General features: G+C 41.3%; 1 protein-coding gene and 1 long non-coding RNA gene across 52 annotated transcripts in view, besides 5 other annotated features; one reads left to right on the top strand and one right to left on the bottom strand.

The window, feature by feature from the left end:
• Positions 615 to 1,014: a silencer, noted in NCBI's record as "silent region_893". NCBI's record gives its function as "represses an Ori minimal core promoter by ATAC-STARR-seq in GM12878 lymphoblastoid cells {active_cell/tissue: GM12878}" and the evidence as "EXISTENCE:reporter gene assay evidence [ECO:0000049][PMID:35858748]".
• TUT4 (terminal uridylyl transferase 4) overlaps positions 946 to 23,415 on the top strand; it is a 130,189-nt gene continuing 107,719 nt past the window's right edge. For 42 of the 50 annotated variants that reach the window (XM_047416416.1, XM_047416421.1, XM_047416417.1 and 39 more), the window contains exon 1: positions 1,317 to 1,478. The gene's annotated coding sequence lies outside the window, so the exon portion shown is untranslated. Of the gene's footprint in view, positions 977 to 1,316; positions 1,479 to 23,415 lie in introns of those variants that run through there. The other 8 variants (XM_017000804.3, XM_047416324.1, XM_047416327.1 and 5 more) reach the window with 2 other exon arrangements.
• Positions 1,025 to 1,134: a silencer, noted in NCBI's record as "silent region_892". NCBI's record gives its function as "represses an Ori minimal core promoter by ATAC-STARR-seq in GM12878 lymphoblastoid cells {active_cell/tissue: GM12878}" and the evidence as "EXISTENCE:reporter gene assay evidence [ECO:0000049][PMID:35858748]".
• Positions 1,175 to 1,304: a silencer, noted in NCBI's record as "silent region_891". NCBI's record gives its function as "represses an Ori minimal core promoter by ATAC-STARR-seq in GM12878 lymphoblastoid cells {active_cell/tissue: GM12878}" and the evidence as "EXISTENCE:reporter gene assay evidence [ECO:0000049][PMID:35858748]".
• Positions 1,375 to 1,704: a silencer, noted in NCBI's record as "silent region_890". NCBI's record gives its function as "represses an Ori minimal core promoter by ATAC-STARR-seq in GM12878 lymphoblastoid cells {active_cell/tissue: GM12878}" and the evidence as "EXISTENCE:reporter gene assay evidence [ECO:0000049][PMID:35858748]".
• Positions 1,572 to 23,027, bottom strand: LOC105378723 (uncharacterized). Of its 2 annotated transcripts, none has more exons than XR_001738048.2 (4): positions 22,910 to 23,027; positions 3,605 to 3,729; positions 3,003 to 3,052; positions 1,572 to 2,198 (listed from the first exon to the last, which is right to left on the bottom strand). It is a non-coding gene; the product is annotated as an uncharacterized LOC105378723 (long non-coding RNA). The 2 variants fall into 2 exon arrangements; XR_007066083.1 differs by having other exon boundaries at positions 1,572 to 2,168.
• Positions 22,048 to 22,107: an enhancer, noted in NCBI's record as "active region_1033". NCBI's record gives its function as "activates an Ori minimal core promoter by ATAC-STARR-seq in GM12878 lymphoblastoid cells {active_cell/tissue: GM12878}" and the evidence as "EXISTENCE:reporter gene assay evidence [ECO:0000049][PMID:35858748]".

Here is a 23,415-nt window from a genome sequence, read left to right as displayed (position 1 = left end):
CCTGAGTCACATTATAAGAAAATTTATAAGGCACTATCTTGTAAATACTTAAGATTTAACATCTTCCCTTCACCTCTACGTCCACTCTTTTCATACCTTTTTCCTGCCTAGCATGTGTCAAACTCAAAGGACTGGGCACAGAGCACAGAGGTTGTGTGCTTTGTCCAGCTTTGAGGTCAGAGATTGGCTAAATAATCTCTGAGGCTGGGGTCTTAAAAAAAAACAACAAAAAACAAAACTAACAAAACCTTAAGTCCGTTCCGCCCGTGACTTTAAATAATTATGTAGAGGAATGTAATACGTTAAAAGCAAGGGGATGAGGGGGCCCATTGATGGTAGATGGTTTTATGCCCGCCTGCAGCTAAAGAAATGATTTCTAAAACCTCTTTTGGGGGTGGGAGATGGAGTGCTCCAGAGATTTCTCTTCGAGCTCCTTCATTCCTGAACTGCCTGCCTTTTCAAAGGAAAAAAGGTCCAGCTGCGGTGGGCTGGAGGCCGTGGTGAGTGGGTGGGGGTCGACCCTGGCGGCTTCCTCTGCCCCGCTCCCTACCGTTGCTCCGAAGCCCGCTTGGGCTTCCGAGGGTCCGCCGAGGCTCGGGCCACGCCCAGTCCGAGTGCCAGGCCAGAGGGTACCCATTCCAGGCCGGCCTTCCTCCCCAGGGGGAGCAGCCTTGGGAGCGAGGCGCCGAGGCGGCCCTCGGGCTCGGCTTCCAGCTCGGGGGCCTCGGCAGAGACTAGGAACCAGACTGGGGCAGCACTGGGGCGCCCGCCACCCCCACCCACTCCGGCAAGCGGGCGAATCAGCGCGGCTAACCCGCGGCGCCCAGGCGGGCTGCGGGACCTCGCGACCTCCGCTCGGCGGCCCCGCCCCTGCCCGCGAGCCCCGGGTGGCTCCCTCCTCCCCTCTGCCAGCGGCCCGCCCCCTCCTCGCGAGCTAACGAGTGTCTCTCGCGCGCTCCCTTCCCTCCGCGTGGGTGTGAGTGCGCGATCCTCCTACCTCGGCCTTCTCCCCATTGTTTCTTCGCGGCCACCACGAGACCCCTCCCCCCAGTGCTGTTTCCCCCCTCCCCCGCCCCGGTGTAAACGGTGCCTGTGGGGCCCCCCGAACGAAGGGAGGGGGCACCCCTGAACCCTTCCCTCTGCGCGTAGCTCCTCCTCTCCCGGGCCAGGACCCCATTACAGGCTCTGTCCTCTCCCCTCCCCCTCTCCCCCGGCAACCGCTCTCCCTCGCCCCCTCCCCTCAGCGGGTCCTCCTCTTTCTCTCCCTCTCCCTCTCCCTCCTCCTCCCCCTCCCCATCCCTTCCCCCCCACAATGCAGTTCGCGGCGCGGCGGACATGGCGGTGGAGTCCTGAGCTAGTCGTGTCCCGGCCTCCAGCGGCGGCAGCGGCGACGGCGGCGGCAGCAGGAGGCGGAGGGAGAGCAGGAGCCACTGAGATGAGGAGGCGTCGCGCGCGCCTGTAGCTCGCGGGCCTCGCAGGTACGAGGTTCCGGCCGCGGGGCAGCGTCGGGTACCGAGGGGGTGTGCTCGGGAAGGCCGGGCGGCCCCCGGTTCGCCCTCCCCAGGTGCCGCGCTTCGCAGGTGTCGGGGGCCTGGCCTGAGAGCGTCTCAGCCGCCCCCTGGGGGCCTGACACTTCTTTCTTTCCTGGAACGGGCTTCGGGTGTCCCAGGGGAAGGCTGAGATAAGGGAGGTGGGGACGGCGGCCTGGGCGGCCTGAGGAGGGCATTGGGGCGCTTTGGGGACGAACTCCACACTGTGGCTGGGGCTCCCGGTCCCGGACCGAAACCTGTTGTAGACCAGCGGGGCGGATTTTGAGTTAACGGGATTGGTTTGAACATTTCTGTTGGGTCCAGTTACGATTCCCTGTCATGTGTACCTTTTTCTTTCACCCTTGCTTAGACATAGGTGACTACATAATGTATATAAATGTATACACGCATATAATACATACTGAATGTTTCCCCGGGCTCGTCCTTGTAGGGAGAAGGCAGAGGTGTCTGTGTGGATTTTGTTTCTTGCTCGCCCGCCTTCTCTCTCCCCCGCCCCCCAGTCGAAAGGTGGTAATGCGCGGTTTTGACGTGGGTAACTGAGATTCGTATTTGTAAACAGATAGCGCTCTCCTAGTGTGTTGCACGCCTCTGCGAAGGGTTTCAGACTCCTGTTGGTATCTGGATTGCGAAAGAATGAGATGTTTAGACCTGAAAGAAGCACATCAGCGGGATTTCTAGTCGTACTTGAATGGGATGAATTACTGTTGTATTAACAACGTTGATTACACATTTTCTTTTCAGAAGATTTCGAAGTCTTAGATGAATTTTGCGTGAGATCTTAGATACCGTATATCTGCTTCTTCATTTTGATAGAAGTAGTAGTTCCTTACACATTTGACCTGCCCTATCGTGATCTTAAATTGTGTCCAGAAATGCAATTCGAATTGTGTATTGTTGGCATGCATTTAGTAATTAGCCCGAGTGGATCAGATGGCCTTTTATTTCCAAAGATTTTTTCCCTCCAGTCTTACAGCAGCGAAATGTTTGTAGCACTTGATGAAACAGAACATATCCTGTTTCTGTTTTTAAAGTAATGAGAACTGTTAGCTAATAAAATTGGATAATCCCAGCCAGATATGATAATTCAGAGAATACCACCGAGAGGTGTTGAATTGTGGGATGGTTTAAAAAGAAAAGCCGACTTTGTGTGTGTGTGTGTATGTGTGTGTGTGCGCGCGCGAGCGCGCTGAAATTTTCTTTAGGCTTAGAACTCATGTATGTCACTACACTGCATCGTAGTACTGATTAGTCACAACTGGTAAAATGAAATATTGATTCTCTTAAAAAGCTGTGCTTAAGATAACTCATTAGTGTCTAGTGTGCTATGTTGCTTTTATAAACAAATTTTTAAAGATTGCTTCTTAGAAACCATATACTTTGGGGAAGATAAGAATTTTAAGTCGTTTTATGCTTTAAAAATATTTATATTTAATATAAACAAAAGAAACTTACTTTTAAAACTCTTAGATAAATTTTTCTGCTGCTTGCAGTTTTTCACTTGGCTAGTGTGGAAAATGAAAAATGAAGTTTTCTTAAAATAATTCAGAAATGGAAGTGAAAGTTAATGACATTTGATGTTTTAAATCCAGCAAACATTTAAATACAGAAAAGAAATTTAAAGTATTTTCATTGTCATAGGCCAAGTTGTTAGTACAGATAAATTAACAAATATTGTCATGCATATAAGTTCAAGTTTATAAATTCTAAGTGACACCTAAAATTACATTTATTTTTAGTTGCTGGAGCTAGAACAGTACAGTGTCTACATTTTAATTTTAGACCTTTTAGAATCAAAATGTATAATTATAAATTTCTCTGATTAACAAAGAGCTGTTTAAAGAGAATTTTTATTAGCTCTCAGCAGATTCATTTTAGAGTAAGTAATTAGAATTCTTTTTTATCTCAAAGTTAATCTTGACATAAAAATAAGTACCATTAATTATGTTGTGTTCTCTACAGAATGTCAAATCAGGATCTGTTGATCAAGAAAGGTGTTTGAATTTATTCACTGTTAAAGTTTCTAGTTTCAGAGAAACAAAATAACCAACACTTACCTGTAGGGCCTGGCCAGGTGGCTCACTCACGCCTGTAATCTCAGCACTTTGGGAAGTGGAGGCGAGAGGATTGCTTGAGCGTAGGAGTTTGATATCAGTCTGAGCAGCATAGTGAGACTTTGTCACTGCCAAAAAATAAAAGAAATTAGCTGGGCGTGGTGGTGTGCGTCTGTAGTCCCAGAAGCTGAGGTAGGAGGTTTGCCTGAGCCCAGAGTTCAAGGTTGCAGTGAGGCACAGTTGCGCCACTGTACTCCAGCCTGGGCGACAGAGTAAGACCCTGTCTTAAACAAAAAAAAAAAAAAAAAAAAGCAATACTTACCTGTTAATGTTGATGCCAGAACATTTTGTTTGACAAAATAGAACTCAATGAGTTGTGTTCCTTTTTCAAATAAATTGCAAATACTTGAATTGATTAAAAAATGTTAAATTCAGTTAAAGCCACTGCAGTAGGATAGAAATACGTTCTAAAAAAGAACAATTCCAGAAAGACCTAAAAAAGTCAAAGGAAAGGGACACCATACTTTAAAACAGGATATGTAGACTTTTTGTTATTAATCTTAGAGCAATTAGAGTTGTTTACTGGGTACTAACTGAATTGTTTTAATTCTAGAATCCTAAATAATTACATAATTTGGGGGAAATGTTTAAAAACCATCATTTCTGCAGAGTATTTTTCTTTCCTTTTTTAAATCTTTATTTTATTATGTACAGACTATATTCAAATAAACCACACACTCTGAAAAAGCAGGTTCCGACTTTTCCTCCGGAGTATTTCTTACAGGCCCAAGGAGAAGAAAGGGTATATAAATGCAAAGATTAATGTTAGGATTTTTCCCCCTTAAGTGAGAGATTTGTGTGGTGTCTTATGTTCAAATTATTTTTATGTCACATCATCTCATTGGATATCTATAATTATGAGTTGAGGGAGAGAGAAGGGAACCAAAACTTTTTAGAGTGCCTGTTTTGTTCCAGGCACTGCGCTAGACACTGTTTATGCATTTTTTTTTCACTCGTTCAGTGTAACAGCCCTTTGAAACCTGTTTATAGGTGAGGAATCTTTGAGTCACAGAGGTTAGTGATTTGCTGAAGATCATAGAATTAGATTTCAAAGCAGATCTCTCTTCCTAATATAATGTATATGTGATGTTGCTTTTCAGGTGTATTATTTTCTCAATTATTTAGAATGGGAAACTGCCTAAGGTTGTTCATTCATTCATTTAAACATTCATTTCATCAAACATTTGCATTTGTATCAGTCTACATATAATACAGTAAATTACAACACACTAGATTGTGGGAGTTGAGAGGGAAGAAACTAGCTCTTGAAGGGTGAGTAGGAGTTTGCTAGGTGGAGAGGAAGATGGACTGGAGGTTGGAGGTCATTCCAGACCTAGGGAATAACATGCAAAGATGATAAATTGTAATGAGCCTTGGGGAGTGAGGGAGAGTGAGAAATTCAGTGTGGTAGGAATTGATATGGATAGAATGGTGAGATAAATGATTGGAAGTAGCAAATTGTGAGGGACCATTTATGTTGTATTAAGGTGTTTGAATTTTTATCTTGTGAGATCACCAAGTGAGATAGTGGTTGAGCTGTGATTAGAACTATGTTTTCTGACTCCTAGTTTTGTATTTTTTTCTCCTTGGCTTCCTAGCTAACAGAGTTTACCCGTTTTTAGTGGATAGGCAAGCCTTCTTTTCCGTACCACTCTTCTCTCCTCTCCCTATATTCTAGACTTTTATCTTGAGAATTCTGTGATCCAAATCTTACTGTCCAAGAACTTTTAATTTTTTGGAAAAGTCTTTTGGGATGAAAACACCTCTGGGGGAGATCACCTTGTTATACTACTTAGGAAGTTTTTTCACTTGTTGGCTTGGATTAGTTGACTATTTTCTAGTTTAGCTCTAGAAAACAATAGCTTAAGGCATTGAAGAGCATGGGCTGGAAGAAGGGAGACGCTATTCATGCAAGTTTGATGTTCACCACTATAGATGGGCAAAGTCCTAATCTTTACATAAGGCATCTTGTACTTTTAAAAAGAAATAGGTATGTTTGTTAACCACACAACAATCTGATTGCTTTAAGTGGATATTTGATTTACAATGATAATAGATAACTTATTGCATAGTTACTATGAGCTAATTTCTTTCTCAAGATCTTTGAAGTGTTAACTTAGTCTTCAAAACAACCCTTTTTATATTATTCTCATTTATAGATGGGAAAAGTCCATGTAGAAGGATTGAGTACCTTGGACAATATCTCATAGCTAGTTTGCTGCAGTCAGGATTTGAACTCAAAGTGTCTGAGTCTAGAGTCACAGCTCTTTGCCACTGTACTGTGTTGTACCTTCAAGTTTAGGGTGTCAAAATTTTGTGTACAGAGAGTTAAATTCTGTAGTCACATAGGTTGTTAAAAATATTTTGCAAATATGCAAAGTATGAATTATAGAGAATGACTAAGCCTGATTGCATTTTGTCAGTGTGTAGTTTAATAATATAATTATTAAATTAAATATTTAACTAACACTATAGTTTAAATAATTTAATTGACCAGTCATTAAGTGTTCATTAAGTGCTAGTCATGTGCTGAGTATTAGTTTAGGCCAGTGGTATTCAAACTATGGGGACCTTTTGGAGAGGGGTGTCTCTGAGTCAAACTGTTTTCATGGTAATATTAAGACACAATTTGACTTTTCCCTTATTCTCTGGTCTGGGGTGACATGTGAAGACTTTATTGCTTTGATGGCTAATGTAATGTGTAATAGTGTATTTTTTTCCCCTTTTTTCTTTGAGATATAATTTACAATACCATAAAATTCACACTTTTAAAAGATACAATTCAGTGGCTTTTAGTATATTTATAAGGTTGTGTAACCATCACTATTTAATTTTGGAATGTTTTTATCCCATAATGAAACCCAGTTCCCATTAACAATCACTCCCCATTCCTTCCTCCTCCAAGCCTTTGGCAAGCACTAAGCTACGTCTCTAGAAATTATGGACATTACATATACAAGGAATTATATAGTATGTGGCTTTTTGTGCCTGGCTTCTTTCACTGAACTTAATGTTTTCAAGGTTGGCCATAGTGTAGCATGTTTTAGCTTTTTTCTGGCTGAATAGTATTACCTTCTATGGAGATACCACGTTTTGTTTAACCATTCATCATTTGATGGACATTTGGGTTATTTCTACTTTTTGCCTATAAGGAATGGTGCTGCTGTGAACATAGTTAAACGTTTTTGTGTGGATGTACATTTTCATTTCTCTTGGGTATATACCCAGATTGTAATTGCTGGGTGTTTCGATAAACTTATGATTAACTTTATGAGGAACTGCCAAACTGTTTTCCAAAGTTGTACCATTTTACATTCTCAGTGGCAATGTATGGAAGGTTCCAATTTCTCTACATCCTCACTATCATCTAGTGGGTGACACTTCACCCACTATCTCACTACCTCATTGTGGGTTTGATTTGCATTTCCCTAATGATTAATAAGATGTTGAGCATCTCTTCATGTGCCTGTTGTGCATTTGTCTATCTCCTTTGGAAAGATACCTATTCAAATCCTTTACCCGTTTTTAAAAATTGTTGAGTTTTAAGAACTCAATATATTCTGGATACTAGATGCCCCCACTTTTTTTTTTGAGACAGTCTTGCTCTATCACCAAGGCTGAAGTGCAGTGGCGTGAACATGGCTCACTGCAGCCTCTGCCTTCTGGCCTCCACCTCCTGGGCCTCAAGCGATCCTCCTGCCTTAGCCTCTTGAGTAGCTAGGACTACAGGTGCATGCCACCATGCCCAGCTAATTTTTTTGATTGATTTATTTATTTTTGTAGAGACAGGATCTCATTATGTTGTCTAGGCTGGTCTCAAACTCCTGGCCTCAAATGATCCTCCTTCCTCAGCCTCCGAAAGTGCCAGGATTACAGGTATGAGCCATCTCGCCCAGGCTAGACCCTTTTTAGATATATTATTTACAAAAATGCTGTCTCATTTTGTGGAGTGTCTATTCACCTTAAAAAAGATTCTAAAAATTGTGATAAAGTGTACATAACAAATTAACCATTTAAACTTGTTTCCAACTTTTAAAAATTGCAGTAAAATATACATAACACAACATATCATCTTAATGATTTTTAAGTGTATCATTCAGTGGTATTAAATACATTCATAATGTTGTGCAGCCATCATCACCATCCATCCCTATAACCCTTTTCATCTTATAAAACTGAAACTCTATACCCATTAAATGATAATTTCCCGTTCCCTTCTTCCCTCACCCCTGACAACCACTATTCTGTCTTTACGATTTTGACTACTCTAAATACCTCATATAAATTGAATCATACAATATTTGTCTTGTGGCTTATTTCACTTAGCATAGTGTCCTCAAGGTTCATCATGTGGCATATTGCAGAATTTCCTTCTTTTTTAAGGCTGAATAACATTCCATTGTATAGATATATCACATTTTGCTTATCCCTTTGTCTATGAGTAGACACTTGGGTTATTTCCATGTTTTAGCTATTGTGAATGATGCTGCTGTGAACATGAGTGTACAGTATCTCTTAGCCTGCTTTCAATTTTTTTGGTATATACCCAGAAGTGAAATTATTGGATCATATGGTAATTTTATTCTTCTTCTTCTATTTATTTATTTATGAGACAAGATCTGGCTCTGTCTCCCAAGCTGGAGTGCAGTGGCATGGTGTTGGCTCACTGCAACCTCTGCCTCCTGGGCTCAAGCCATCCTCCCACCTCAGCCTCTTGAGTAGGTGGGACTGTGGGCGCTTGCGACCACACCTGGCCAATTTTTTTTTTTTTTTTTTTTTTTGTATTTTTGTAGAGATGCAGTTTCACCATATTGCCCAGGCTGGTCTCAAACTCCTGAGCTCAAGTGATGTGCCTGCCTCGGCCTCCCAAACTGCTGGGATTACAGGCATGAGCCATCGCGCCTGGCCTATTATTATTATTATTTTTGACACCTTAGCATCATTGAGTATATTTTTAATTTTTTGAAGAACTGCTATATTGTTTTCCATAGTGGCTGTACCATTTTACGTTCCTACCAACAGTGCACAGAGGTTCTGATATTTCCACAGCCTTGCCAACACTTGCTATTTTCTATTTATTTAATAGTAGTCCTGTCCTATGGGTTGTGAGTTGGTATCTCATTGGAGTTTTGATTTGCATTTCCCTAATGATTAGTGATATTCAGCATCTTTTCACGTGCTTGTGGCCGTCTGTATATCTTCTTTGGAGAAATGTCTATGCCAGCCCTTTGCCCATTTTCAAATCAGGTCATTTTTTGTTCATTTTTTGGAGTTGCTATATATTCTGGATATTAGTCCCTTATCAGATACATGATTTATAAATATTTTCTTCCATTCTGTTCTGTGGGGTTACTTTTTTTTTTTTTTTTGAGACAGAGTCTTACTCTCTGTCACCCAGACTGTAGAGCAGTGGCGCAATCTTGGCTCACCACAATCTCCAGCTCCCAGGCTCAAGCAATTCTCCTACCTCATTCTCCTGAGTAGCTGGGATTACAGGCGCTTGCCACTACTGCCCAGCTAAATTTTGTATTTTTAGTAGAGACGGAATTTCACCATGTTGGCCAGGCTGGTCTTGAACTCCTGACCTCAAATGTTCCACTCACTTCGGCCTCCCAAAGTACAAGGATTATAGGCATGAGCCACCATGCCTGGCCTTTACTCTGTTTCTTTTCTGGCTTTTTTTTTTTTTTGGGGACAAGGTCTCACTCTGTCCCCTAGGCTGGGGTGCAGTGGCGCAATCATGGCTCAGTGCAGCCTTGACCTCCCTGGGCTCAAGAGATCATCCCACCTCAGCCTTTGGAGTAGCTGGGACTACAGGCACATGTCACCACGACACTCGAATTTTAAGATTTTTGTAGAGACAGGGTCTCACTATGTTGCATAGGCTGGCCTTGAACTCCTGACCTCAAGTGATCCTCCTGGCTGGGCCTCCCAGAGTGCTGGGATTATAGGTGTGAGCCACCATGCCTAGCCTGGCCACCATTTTACTCAGTTGATAGTGTCTTTTGATTAACAAAAGTTTTAAATTTTCAGCCAGTCTAGTTTGTCCATTTTTTCTTTTGTTGCCCGTGCCTTTGGTGTCATACTCAACAAATAATTGCCAACTCCAGTGTCATGAAGCTTTTCCCTTTTGTTTTCGTCTAAGAGCCTTATAGTTTTATGTTTCTTAGTTATGGTTTTATAGTTACAAGTTTAGGTTTCTTAGGTCTTTGATCCATTTTGAGTTAATTTTTGTTTATGGTCAAAATTCAATCTTTTGCAGATGGATTACCAGTTTTCCCAGCGCCATTTGCTGAAAAGACTGTCCTTTCCCTATTGAATGGCTTTGTCATCCTTGTTAAAAATTATTTGACCACATATGTGAGGGTTTATTTCTGGTCTGTTTGATTCCATTGGTCTGTCTGTATGTATTTATACTAATACCATACTATTTTGATTACTGTAGCTTTTTTTTTTTTTTGAAATGGAGTCTCACTCTGTCGCCCAGGCTGAAGTGCACTGGCACGATCTCAGCTCACTGCAAGCTCCGCCTCCCAGGTTCATGCCATTCTCCTGCCTCAGCCTCCCGAGTAGCCTGGGACTACAGGCGCCCACCACCACACCCGGCTAAGTTTTTGTATTTTTAGTAGAGACGGGGTTTCACCATGTTCGCCAGGATGGTCTCATCTCCTGACCTTGTGATCTGCCTGCCTCGGCCTCCCGAAGTGCTGGGATTACAGGCATGAGCCACTGTGCCCAGCCTGATTATTGTAGCTTTGTAGTAAGTTTTGCGACTAGGAAGTATGAGTCCTCCACTTTTGTTTTTCTTTGTCAAGACTTTTGGCTATTTGGGGTCTCTTGAGATTCCATGTGAATTTTAGGATTGATTTTGGTATTTCTGCAAAAAATGTCATTGGAATTTTGATAGGGATTGCATTAAATGTTTAGATTGCTTTGGGTAGTGTGGACATTTTAACAACAGTAAGGCCAGGCACAGTGGCTCATGCCTGTAATCCCAGCACTTTAGGAGGCCGAGGCTGGTGGATTACCTGAGGTCAGGAGTTCAAGACCAGCCTGACCAACATGGTGAAACCCTGTCCCTACTAAAAATACAAAAATTACCTGGGCCCAGTGGCAGGTACCTGTAATCCCAGCTACTCAGGAGGCTGAGGCAGGAGAATCGCTTGAACCCGGGAGGCGGAGGTTGCAGTGAGCTGAGATTGCGCCATTGCACTCCAGTCTGGGAGAGAGAGCGAGACTCCATCTCAAAAAAAAAAAAAAAAAAATTAAGTCTTTTGGTCTGTGGACATAGAATGTGTTTCTGTTTATATATTTCTAAATTTCTTTCAGCAATGTTTTATAGTTTTCATTGTACATGTCTTTCACTTCTTTGGTTATGTAATTCCTTAGTACTTTATTCTTTTTGATGGTATTGTAAATGGAATTTTTAAAATTTCCCTTTAGATTATTTATTGTGTTTAGAAATGCAGCTGGTTTTTCGTGTGTTGACTTTGTGTCCTGCTACTTTGCTGAATCCATTTTTTAGTTGTGTGTGTGTGTATAATCTTTAGGGTTTTCTACATATAAAATCATATTATTTGCAAACTGAGATAATTTTACTTCTTCTTTTCCAATTGAGATGCGTTTTGTTTCTTTTGCCTAATGGCGTTGGCTAGAACTTCCAGTACTGTGTTGAGCAGAAATGGTGAACACAGGCCGGGCATGGTGGCTCACGCCTGTAATCCCAGCACTTTGGGAGGCTGAGGTGGGTGGATCACCTGAGGTCAGGAGTTCGAGACCAGCCTGACGAACATGGAGAAACGCTGTCTCTACTAAAAATACAAAATTAGCTGGGCATAGTGGCCTGTAATCCCAGCTACTTGGGAGGGTGAGGCAGGAGAATCGCTTGAACCTGGGAGGCGGAGGTTGCGGTGAGCCGAGATCGTGCCATTGCACTCCAGCCTGGGCAACAAGAGTGAAACTCTGCCTCAAAAAAAAATAAATAAATAAATAAATAAAAAGAAATGGTGAAAACAGACATCTTTCCCTTGTCTTGATGTTAGAGGAAAAGGTTTTCATTTTTATCATTGAGTATGATGTCTACTGTAGGTTTTCCTTAGATAGCTTTTATTATATTGAAGTAGTTTCTTTCTATTCCTAGATTGTTGAGTGTTTTTATCATGAAAGGGTATTGAATTTTGTCAGATTCTTCGTCTGCATCAATTGAGATGATCATGTGGTTTTTCGTTTTGTTTGGTTAATGTGTGTTACATTGATCTGTTTTCATATGTTGAACCATCCTTGCATTCCAGGAATAAATCCCATTTGATCGTGGTGTACAATTCTTTAACTGTGCTGCTGATTTCAGTTTGCTAGTATTCTGTTGTGGATTTTTGCATGAATGTTTATACTATTTTCATTTTAAGCCTCAGCCTCCCAGGTAGCTAAGCATACATTCAGTGACATTAAATTTATTTACATTATTGTGCAACTATCACCACCATCCATTTCCAGAACATTTCCATTTTCCCAAGCTGAAACTCTGTACCCGTCAAACAATAAATTCTCATTTTCCTTGCTTCCTAACCTCTAGCAACCACCATTCTACTTTATTTCTCTATGATTTTGACTGCTGTAGGTACTGCGTATCAGTAGACTCATATAATATTTGTTGTGACTGGCTTCTTTCATATAGCATAATGTCTTCAAAGTTCATCCATGTCATAGCATGTGTCAGAATTGTCTACCTTTTTAAGGCAGAGTAGTAGTTCATTATATATATGTCCCACATTTTGTTTATCCATTCATCTGTTGGTGGATACTTGGGTTGCCTTCACATTTTGGCTATCGTGAATAATGCTTCTTTGAACGTTGATGTTCAAATACCTGTTTCTGCTTTTGGTTATTTGGGTGTATACTTAGAATAGGAATTGTTGGATCATTCTATGTTTAATTTTTTGAGGAGTTGTCATACTGTTTTTTCATTTTCTTGAGTGTGCTCATTGAAATACAAAAGTTTTAAATTTGATGAAGTCCCATTTATCTCTTTTCTTTAGTTTTCTTTGCTTTAAGTGTCATACCTAAAAAATCATTGTTGATCCAAGATTATGAAGATTTACTCCTATGTTTTCTTCTAACAGTTTTACACTTTTAGCTTCTACATTTAGGTCTTTGATCCATTTTGAGTTTTTTTTTTTAATGTGATATGATGTAGGAGTTTCTTTCTTTTTTTTTTTTGAGACGGAGTCTCGCTCTGTCACCCAGGCTGGAGCGCAATGGCGCGATCTTGGCTCACTGCAACCTCTGCCTCCTGGGTTCAAGCGATTCTCCTGCCTCAGCCTCCCAAGTAGCTGGGATTACTGGCGCCTGCCACCATGTTCAGCTAATTTTTGTATTTTTAGTAGAGATGGGGTTTCACCACATTGGCCAGGCTAGTCTCGAACTCCTGACTTCAGGTAATCCACTGCCTTGGACTCCCAAAGTGCTAGGATTACAGGCGTGAGCCCCCGTGCCCAGCCTGATGTAGAAGTTTTACTTCTTCTTTTTTTTTTTTTTTTTTTAAGACAGAGTCTCGCTCTGTGGCCCAGGCTGGAGTGCAGTCGCGTGATCTTGGCTCACTGCAACCTCTGCCTCCTCCTGGGTTCAGGCAATTCTTGTGCCTCAGTCACCCTAGTAGTTGAGATTACAGGTGTACACCACCATGCCCAGCTAATTTTTGTATTTTTAGTAGAGACAGTGTTTTACCATGTTGGCCAGGCTGGTCCCTAACTCCTGGCCTTGGGTGATCTGCCTGCCTCGGCCTACTAAAGTGCTGAGATTACAGGCGTGAGCCACTGCGTCTGGCCAGTGTATTCTTGTATTTGAAAAATTTCTCAGTTTTAATAATCTTAACGATGCATGTATCAATAGATATAACACACAAAGACAAAGGTTCTTTGGATCCTCAGTATTTTAAGAGTATAAAGGTATTCTGAGACCAAAAAGTTTGAGAATTACTGATTTAGGCTTAGAGACATACTCTAGTACATAAACTTGGACCAAAAATTGGGAGTCATGTTTCTTGTAGTCATATACCAGTCCCATTTGTGTTATCTTAGGCAAGTCATAAACAGGGTGCCTCATTAATGTATAAAATGGAAATACTGCAAGACTCTAATTATAGTAACTTCACAAATGTGTAAGGATAAGTGAATGGGCATGCTAGACAGGTAGTGTTTGTCTTTTTTTTCTTTCTTTCTTTCTTTTTTTTTTTTTGAGTCGGAGTCTTGCTCTTTCGCCCAGGCTGGAGTGCAGTGGTGCGATCTTAGGTCACTGCAATCTCTACCTCCCCGGTTCAAGTGATTCTTCTGCCTCAGCCTCCTGAGAAGTCGGACTACAGGTGCATGCCACCACACCCTGCAATTTTTTTGTCTTTTTAGTAGAGATGGGGTTTCGCTGTGTTGCCCAGGCTGGTCTTGAACTCCTGACCTCGTGATCCACCCGCCTTGGCCTCCCAAAGTGCTGGGATTACAGGCATGAGCCACCGCGTCCGGCCATTTTTTTTTTTTTTTGAGACAGAGTCTCGCTCTGTCACCCAGGCTGGAGTGCAGTGGCATGATCTTGGCTCACTGCAGTCTCTGCCTCCCGGGTTCACACCATTCTCCTGCCTCAGCCTCCCGAGTAGCTGGTAACACAGGCGCCCGCCACCATGCCCAGCTAATTTTTTTGTATTTTTAGTAGAGACAGGGTTTCACCTTGTTAGCCAGGATGGTCTCGATCTCCTGACCTCGTGATCTGCCCGCCTTGGCCTCCCAAAGTGCTGGGATTACAGGTGTGAGCCTGTAGTCCCGCGCCTGGCCTGTTTTTTTTGTTTTTTTTTTTTTAAGACGGAGTCTTGCTCTTGTCACCCAGGCCAAAGTGCAATGGCATAATCTTGGCTCACTGCAACCCCCGCCTCCTGGTTCAAGTGATTCTTCTTCCTCAGCCTCCTGAGTAGCTGGGATTATAGACGTGAGCCACCACTCCCAGCTAATTTTTGTATTTTTGGTAGAGACAGGGTTTCACCATGTTGTCAGGCTAGTCTCAAACTCTGACCTCAGGACCTCTGAGGTCATGAGCATTTCAGGCCGCCTCGGCCTCCCAAAGTGCTGTGATTATAGGCATGAGCCACCGCGCCCTGCACTGCCATCTTTTTTTAAAACTGAAAATTTGTAAGAGCTCCGGGACTTTTTGTAGGAACTTGTGGCATTGTTAATGTGTCTTGAACATTGCTTTCCCCCCCATACCTGTTTCCTCAAAGCCAGGAAATTATATCCATAGTTTACTACCTACTGTCTATTCTTCGTTCTCTTGTGAGACTGGTGTCCTGCTGGCTATATTTCTTATCTGTCATTGTCATTTCAATCTGGGAATCTGTAGGTCACCCCTTTATATTCACTGATACTTTGGTGTAATTCCTGACATCCATATTGGGCAGTGGGAAGCATAACATTGAATGTTATCTGACACTTTATTTCCTTAATTTCTATCTTCTAGTGATATTCAACTCTACTTTCCTTGATAGCTCCTATTCATATCATTCAAAATGATTCTTCCCACCAAAATTTTCTGAATTATCTGTATATGTATTTTTAATGTTTCTTTAGTTTTTTTAATCTATCCCTAATTTCACTGTAAAGCCTCTTTTTGGCTTTATCCTTTCCCTTCATCGGCATGATTACTGTTGTGTTCCTTACCCTATTGAAATAGTGATTCTGTAACTTCGCAACCCAGTACAAATTATCTCCAAATTGTATAACTAGTGGTGGTTCACATCTGTAATTCCGGGATTCCTTTGGGAGGCTGAGGTGGGAGAATTGTCTTGGTGCCCTAAAGTGTTGGGATTACAGGTGTAAGCCACTTTACCTGGCTTCAACACTCTCTTTAACTTGGTGGTAAGTAAGGCAGGAATGAAAGGAAAAGGAGATATGAATTGCACTATCTTTCCCTTTCCTTCTGCATCATCATTTTTAGAATAAATGTTTAATTCAGGGAAGTAATATTAGTAAGGAAAGATATGATAGGATTCTTTGATCATTCATGTTTTTTTAATCTTCTTTTTCATTTTTCTTTTTTTTTTTTCTTTTCTTTTCTTTTTTTTTTTTTAGACAGAGTCTTGCTCTGTTGCCTAGGCTGGAGTGCAGTGGCATGATTGCAGCTCACTGTAGCCTTCACCTCCCAAGTGCAAGTGATCCTCCCACTTCAGCCTCCTGAGACTGGGACTACAGGTGCCTGGCTAATTTTTTATATTTTGTAGAGATGGAGTCTCCTGTGTTGCCTAGGCTGGTCTAAAACTCCTGGACTCAAGCGGTCCTCCCAGCTTGTCCTCCAAAAGTGCTGTGATTACAGGCATGAACCACCGCACCCAGCTCCCTTTTTTTTTCTCAGTTGCCAAAACAAGAGCATTTATTTGTCTTTCATGTTACATGCCCATTGGGGATAGAATGTATATTCTGCTGATGTTGGATAGAGTCTTTATATATCTGTTAGGTCTAATTATTTTATTTTATTTTTTTGAGATGGAGTCTTGCTCTTTCGCTCAGGTTGGAGTGCAGCGATGCAGTCTTGGCTCACTGCAACCTCCACCTCCTGGATTCAAGCGGTTCTTGTGCCTCAGCTTCCCAAGCAGCTGGGACTATGGGTGTGGGCCACCACACCCGGCTAATTTTTGTATTTTTAGTAGAGACGGGGTTTCACCATGTTGCCCAGGCTTTTCTTGAACTCCTGACCTCAAGTGATCTGCCCCCTTTGGTCTCCCAAAGTGCTGAGATTATAGGCATGAGCCGCCATGCCCAGCCAGTCTAATTAGTTTGTTTGTTTATTTATTTATTTATTCATTTTTGAGACAGTTTTGCTCTTGTTGCCCAGACTGGAGTGCAGTGGCCCGATCTCAGCTCACAGCAAACTGCCTTCTCGGTTCAAGCGATCTTCCTGCTTCAGCCTCCTGAGTAGCTGGGATTACAGGCACGCGCCACCATGCCTGGCTAATTTTTGTATTTTTAGTAGAGATGGGATTTCGCCATGTTGGCCAGGCTGGTCTTGAGTTCCTGACCTCAGGTGATCCACCTGCCCTGGCCTCTCGAAGTGCTGAGATTACAGGCATGAGCCACCGCGCTGAGCCAGTCAAATTAGTTTATAGTGTTACACAAATCCTCTGTTTCCTTTTTGATTTTCTGTCTGGTTGTTCTGTTATTGAAAAGTGGGGTATTGAAGTCTCCTAAGTATGATTATAGAACAATTTCTCTTTTCAATTGTGTTAACTTTTGTTTCCTGTATTTTAGGTCACTGTTGTTAGGTGCATATGTTTATAACTGTTATATGTCCTTGCTGGATTGAACCTTTTATCAATATATAATATCTATCTTTGTGTTTTGTAACCTTTTTTGACTTAAAGTGTTATTTTATCTGGTAATAATTTAGCCCCAGCTCTCTCTTTGTTACTCTTTGCATGGAGTATCTGTTTTCATTTTTTCTTATAACGCCTTTGCTCTTTGTATCTAAAGTGAATCTTGTAGATAGATGATAGATTGTGTTTTCCAATTTGCCAATCTCTCTCTTTTTTTTAATTTTTATTTATTTATTTATTTTGAGATGGAGTTTCACTATTATTGCCCAGGCTGCTGGAGTGCAGTGGCACAATCTCGGCCCACTGCAACCTCCGCCTCCTGGGTTCAAGCGATTATCCTGCCTCAGCCTCCCAAGTAGCTGGGACTATGGGCGCACGCCACCATGCCCGGCTAATTTTTTGTTAGTAGAGACGGGGTTTCACCGTGTTAGCCAGGGTGGTCTCGATCTCCTGACCTCATGATCCGCCTGCCTTGGCCTCCCAAAGTGTTGGGATTACAGGCGTGAGCCACCGCGCCCGGCCTATTTTTTAAAATTTAATTTAATGTTACTTTTTTGAGACGAAACTCTTGTTGCCCAGGCTGGAGTGCAGTGGCACAGTCTCGGCTCACTGCAACCTCCACCTCCTGGGTTCAAGTGATTCTCCTGCCTCAGCCTCCCAAGTAGCTGGGATTACAAGCACCCACCACCACGCCCTCTTATTTTTTCGTATTTTTAGTAGAGACAGGGTTTCACCATGTTCTCCAGGCTGGTTGTGAACTCCTGATCTCAGGTAATCCACCTACCTCGGCCTCCCAAAGTGCTGGGATTACAGGCGTGAGCCACCACGCCTGGCCAATCTCTCTTTTTAATTGGAAAGTTTAATTCATTTACATTTAAAGTAATTACTGGTAAGGATGGATTTACTTCTGCCATTTAGCTCTTTCTTTTCCATATGTTTTTTATGCCTTTTGTTCCTCTAATGCTGCCTTTTTATGTATTTAGTTGATTTTTTATAGAATTATAATCCTGTTTTGATTTTGTGTGTGTGTGTTACTTTCTTAGTGGATGCCTTGGGGATAATGATGTAATTAACATCTTAAATTTATAACAACCTAGTTTGAATAATGCCAGCTTAGTTTAAATAGTACGCAAATACTCTGCTCCTACTCATCTTTCTCTCCTCCTTTATATTTTTATTGTCACAGATTACATCTTTATATAGTTTGTGCCTATTAACAGAGGTTTGTAATGAATTTTTATGCATTTGTCTTTTAAATCATGTAAAAGGGAAAAACCCAAGAGTTACCAAAATTACAATAACATTGGCTTTTATATTTACCTATGTAGTTATTTTTACTAGTGTTCTTTATTTCTTGTTATGGATTTGAATTATTGTCTAATGTCTTTTCATCTCAGCATTAAGAATTTCTTTTAGCACTTGTACGGCAGAATGAACTTTCTCACTTTTTGTTTATCTGGAAATATAATTTCTCCTTCATTCTTGAAAGGCGGTTTTACTGGCTAGAGAATTCTTAGTTCACAGCTTTTTTCTTTTAGGACTTCAAATATGTCACTGCATTGCCTTCTCATTTCCATGGTTTCTTATGGGCAATCAGCTGTTAACTTTTGTTTGATGAGTTAAATTTTCTTGCTTCTTTCAAAGTTCTCTTTGGTTTTGACAATTTGACTCTGTCTCAGTGTGGATTTCTTTGAGTTTACGCTGCTTAAAGTTTATTGAGCTTTGTGGAGGTATATACTTGTGTCTTTCATCAGATTGGGGAAGTTTCTGACCATTGTTTCTTCAAATATTTTTTCTACACCCTTCTCTTTCTTCTTTCTGTGACTCCTATTATGCATATGTTGGTACGCTTGGTAGAGAAGAAAATGAACAGTATTGCCCAGGGAACAAAATGCCAGAGAACAAAAAATACAGAGGGCAGAAAAAAGTTTGAGAAAGAATTTTAGTGTTCTGAATATTAGTGGTCTTTAGAAATATGAGATTATAACTATGAAACAAGATCAGAGTGCTGTGAAAAGGAATAATTAGAGAGAGTTCTTAGAAATAAAAATATGATAGAAGAGTTGGAAGATAGAGTTGAGGAAATCACCTAGGAAGGAGAACAAAAAGAAAGGTGGAAAAATGGAGAGAAAAGATAAGAAAATTGGAGAATCAATTTAGGAGGCCCAAGTCTAATTAATAGGAGCAATAGAAAGAGAACAGAAAAGATGAAAAGGAGGAATTTATAGTAGATAGAAGAAAAAAATTTTACAGAAGTGAATGATGTGAATTACTGATGAACAGAGCCAGCTGACTATGCAACAAGATGACTATGCAACAAGATGAATGAGGAGATATCTACAGCAGGCTTATTGCTTGGAAATTTCAGAATACCAAAGCAAAGAGATCATCCTAGAAGTTTTCTTAGAGAAAAAAACAGGTCAGTAAAAAAGGTAAAGAATAAGAATGGCATAATTTTCTCAGTGCTAGTCCCAGAAACTAGAAATCATTGAAAACATTTTGAATGAATAATTTCTAACCTAGAATTTTATTTTATTTTTTTGGGGACGGGGTGTTGCACTGTCGCCCAGCCTGGGGTTCAGTGGTGCCATCACGGCTCACTGCAGCCTTGACCTCCTGGGCTCAAGTGATTCTTCCACCTCAGCCTCCCAAGTAGCTGGGACCACAGGCATGCGCCACCACATTTGGCTGATTTTTGTTTGTTTTTTTTTTTTTTGTAGAGACAGGGTTTTGCCATGTTGCCTGAGCTGGCTTTGAACTTCTGAACTCAAATGATCCTCCCGCCTCAATCTACCAAAGTGCTGGGATTGCAGGCATGAAGCACCGTGCCTGGCCCTAACCTAGAATTTTATACCTAACTAAATGAGGTGTGAAGATACAATAAAGATATTTCAAATATGCAGTTTTATAAAATTTACTTCTGGTTGGAGTTTACGGGGGTCCAATAAATAGCACCCCTTTTGCTTTCCTGAATTTTCAACAAATTGGGTGAAACGAAGGAAGCATATGGAGACCAGAAGATAATTTTATTTTTATTTAGTTTTTATAATTTTATTTTTGATCACGTTCAGTTTGGAGAAGGCGGCTTATACTTTCAACTGGTTTACTGATACCGAGTGCCAGAATTAGGCAGACTTAGCCCTCAGGAACTGGCAGAGCTGAACAACTGCAGGCCCTATGTGAGCCTTACACCTGTAAATGTTAGAGTATGATGGAACAGAATGGGAAGGAGAGGGGACGGGGCTAAGTTTTGTCTGGATTATTTTCCCAAACTCACTGATGAAGTAAGTTACCTCTTCTCCTTAGGCAAGGAATGAATGAGGGGAGTGGAAAGAGGTCAGGGATGTTATGATAACGGGTATCCGTCTACATAGAATGAAATATCGAAAGTGGGACATAATTATTTTCTTCAATATCTTTCATGTTTTCTTCCTTTTTTTGAGACTGAGTCGCACACTGTTGCACAAGTTGGAGTGCAGTGGTGCAATCTCAGCTCACTGCAATCTCCGCCTCCCAGGTTCAAACGATTTTTGTGCCTCATTCTCCCCAGTAGCTGGGATTACAGGTGTGTGCTACCACACCTGGCTAAATTTTTTTGTATTTTAATAGAGACGAGATTTCGCCATGCCAGGCCAGTCTTGAACTCCTGGCCTCAAGTGATCTACCTGCCTTAGCCTCCCAAAGTGCTCGGATTACAGCCGTGAGCCACTGTGCCTGGCCTCATGTTTCCTTTCTTAGAAAGCTGCTGGAGGGTATGTTCCACCAAAAACAAGGGAATAAATCATGGAAGAGCTAAAAAGAAGAGTCAGCATGAGAGAGCGTAAGGGAATTGGTAGGATGATAGTGAAAGGAACTCTCAGTATAACGACAACTGTAGTGAAAGTATAGTAACGACCAGAAAGCTCCCAAGAAGGGATATCCAAGGAGAGAACAGCAACAACAAAACCAAATTACTTGATGTGTTTGATCTTACTGAGAAGATATTTATAGTTCTGTCAATGAATTATTGATAGGTATGTAGAAGAAGCTTAAGAAAAATGAAGTGATTAATTTCAGGTAAAACTGAAAAGTATACCAAAAGGGAAATGTGATTAAGTATATATATTTCTTAAGTCAAAAGCTAGATCCAGTAATAGAGTGGCTTAAAAAACAAAGAGTTTTATTCCTTTCTCATATAATAGTTGCTGGGTAAATGGTCAGGAAATCTAGATGAGTAGTTTGTTCCATGTGGTCATTCAGGGGCCTAAGTTACATTGATCCTGCTGTCTCACCAAAAGTATGGCCAAGGACTAGCTGAGTGGACATGACCTGGGTTTGTTTGAAATGCAGAATATTGGAACCCACTCCCAATCTACTGAATCAGAATCGCATTTAGTTGTTTATTCCTATACACAAAAGTTTGGGACTCACTGGTCTGGATTAGAACATGATGGTTGAATGATTGAAGCGGGGCAGTTGAAAATTTTATTCAGTGAGAAGAGAAAGAGAGCATGAGGAAGTGAGAACTTTATCAGAAGGCCACATCAGACTGCAGAGAAGTTTGTGAAATGTAGACTAGTCATGTGCTCAGGAAAAAGGAGAAAGTTAATTTTTAGGGACATTTAGGAAACTCTGTGCTACAGTATAGTTGGCTTAACTGTGAATAATATTGGCATATCTTATTAAAATCATCCTAGGAGGATGGTGGTAGGGTGGGGAGGTACTTACGTTGCACAGTTATGTATGTTTTTAAGGGGAATATTTGAGATAGCTAAATCCATACCTTTCATGTAGGAAGTTAGCAGATAATAGGTAAGGCCGGGCATGGTAGCTCATGCCTGTAATCCCGGCACTTGGGTAGGCCAAGGCAGCAGGATCGCTTGAGCCCAGGAGTTCGAGACAGCCTGGGCAACATGGTGAGACCCTGTCTCCATAAAATTTTTTAAAAAATTGCCAGGTGTGGTCGTGTGTGCCTGTGAGGCTGAGGTGGGAGGCTCGCTTGAGCCCAGGGGTCAAGGCTGCAGTGAGCCATGACTGCACGCCACTGCACTCCAGCGTGGGTGACAGAGTGAGATACTGTATAAAAAAAAAAAGCTAAAACAAAACAAGAAGTATTATCTTAAGCATGTTATTTAGAAATATGGAGATAAATAAAAATAACTGAAAGTAGGTAGTTGCTTCTGAGGAGAGAAATTGGGAGTTGGCAAGAGAGTACTGTTTTTCAACCATGTAAATGTATTTGTTTTATTAAAAACAGATTAGAGGCAGGCGTGGTAATCCCAGCACTTTGGGAGGCCGAGGCGGGCAGAACATGAGGTCAGGACCATCCTGACCAACATGGTAAAACCCCGTATCTGCTAAAAATACAAAAATTAGCTGGGCGTGGTAGCACACGCTTGTAGTCCCAGCTACTCAGGAGGCTGAGGCAGGAGATTTGCTTGAACCTGGGAAGTGGAGGTTGCAGTGAGCTGAGAGTGCACTCCAGCTTGGCAGCAGAGTGGGATTCTGTCTCAAAAAAAAAAAAAAAAAAAAAAAAAAAAAGATGAGAAAAGACAGTCTCTACTGTTCAGATAGGAAGTAAAAACATAAATAGGTTTAAGTGCTAAGTGCTGTGAGAAAAGTAAAAAGAGTTCATTAAGAAGAGGCATACTTATCTGAGCCCACCCTGGGTAAGAGGGTGGAGGAGTAGGTTATGGAAAGCTTTCTGAAAGAGAGACATTTCCTAGTTATATTGTAGACAACATAAAGTATGATGCAATTAAACATCTTTTGGATTTCATGTATTTTTAAAGTGTGAACAATTAAAAATAATTCAGATTACTTTAAAAAAATCCATTTAACCCATTTATTGGGTGCCTACTTTGTATTAGGCACTGTGGTATGCCCAGAAGATGTAATGATAAGCAAAATCAGAAATGATTTCTTACCTCATAGACTTGAGAATCTCATGGGGAGACTGACACGAATCAGATTGTTCACTGTAAGACTGTACAGAAGTCCCTTCATTTCTGCTTTCAGGATCACTTTCAGGATCACTTCTTACAGCCATGGTTCATTAAGTGTGGCCCCCCAGTCCAGCCACATCAGCTGGGAGGATCGTCTTAGCCCAGGAATTCGAAGCTGTAGTGAGTTAGAATGGCATCACTGCACCCCAGCCTGGGTGACACAGGGAGACCCTGGCTCTGAAAAAAAAAAAAAAGTACTTTTTCTTGATAATTATTAAGATATAGTTGGTTATTTAAGGTTAGAATTTCATTTAATACCCATTTACCACATTCTAAAAATGTAACCAAGAACTAGAGGTTAGTTCTGATAATATTTTTTTCCATGATTTGAGGTTATTTGAATTCTATTATTTTTATTTGTTTCAACCAAGTAAAGTGTGCAGGGGAAGCAGTGAGCCTTCATTTCTTTTCTTTTTTTGAGACAAGTT

The sequence above is a fragment of the Homo sapiens genome, chromosome 1 (assembly GCF_000001405.40).
Source record: "Homo sapiens chromosome 1, GRCh38.p14 Primary Assembly".
Classification (NCBI taxonomy): domain Eukaryota; kingdom Metazoa; phylum Chordata; class Mammalia; order Primates; family Hominidae; genus Homo; species Homo sapiens.
This window is presented reverse-complemented; position numbering and strand designations above follow the sequence as displayed.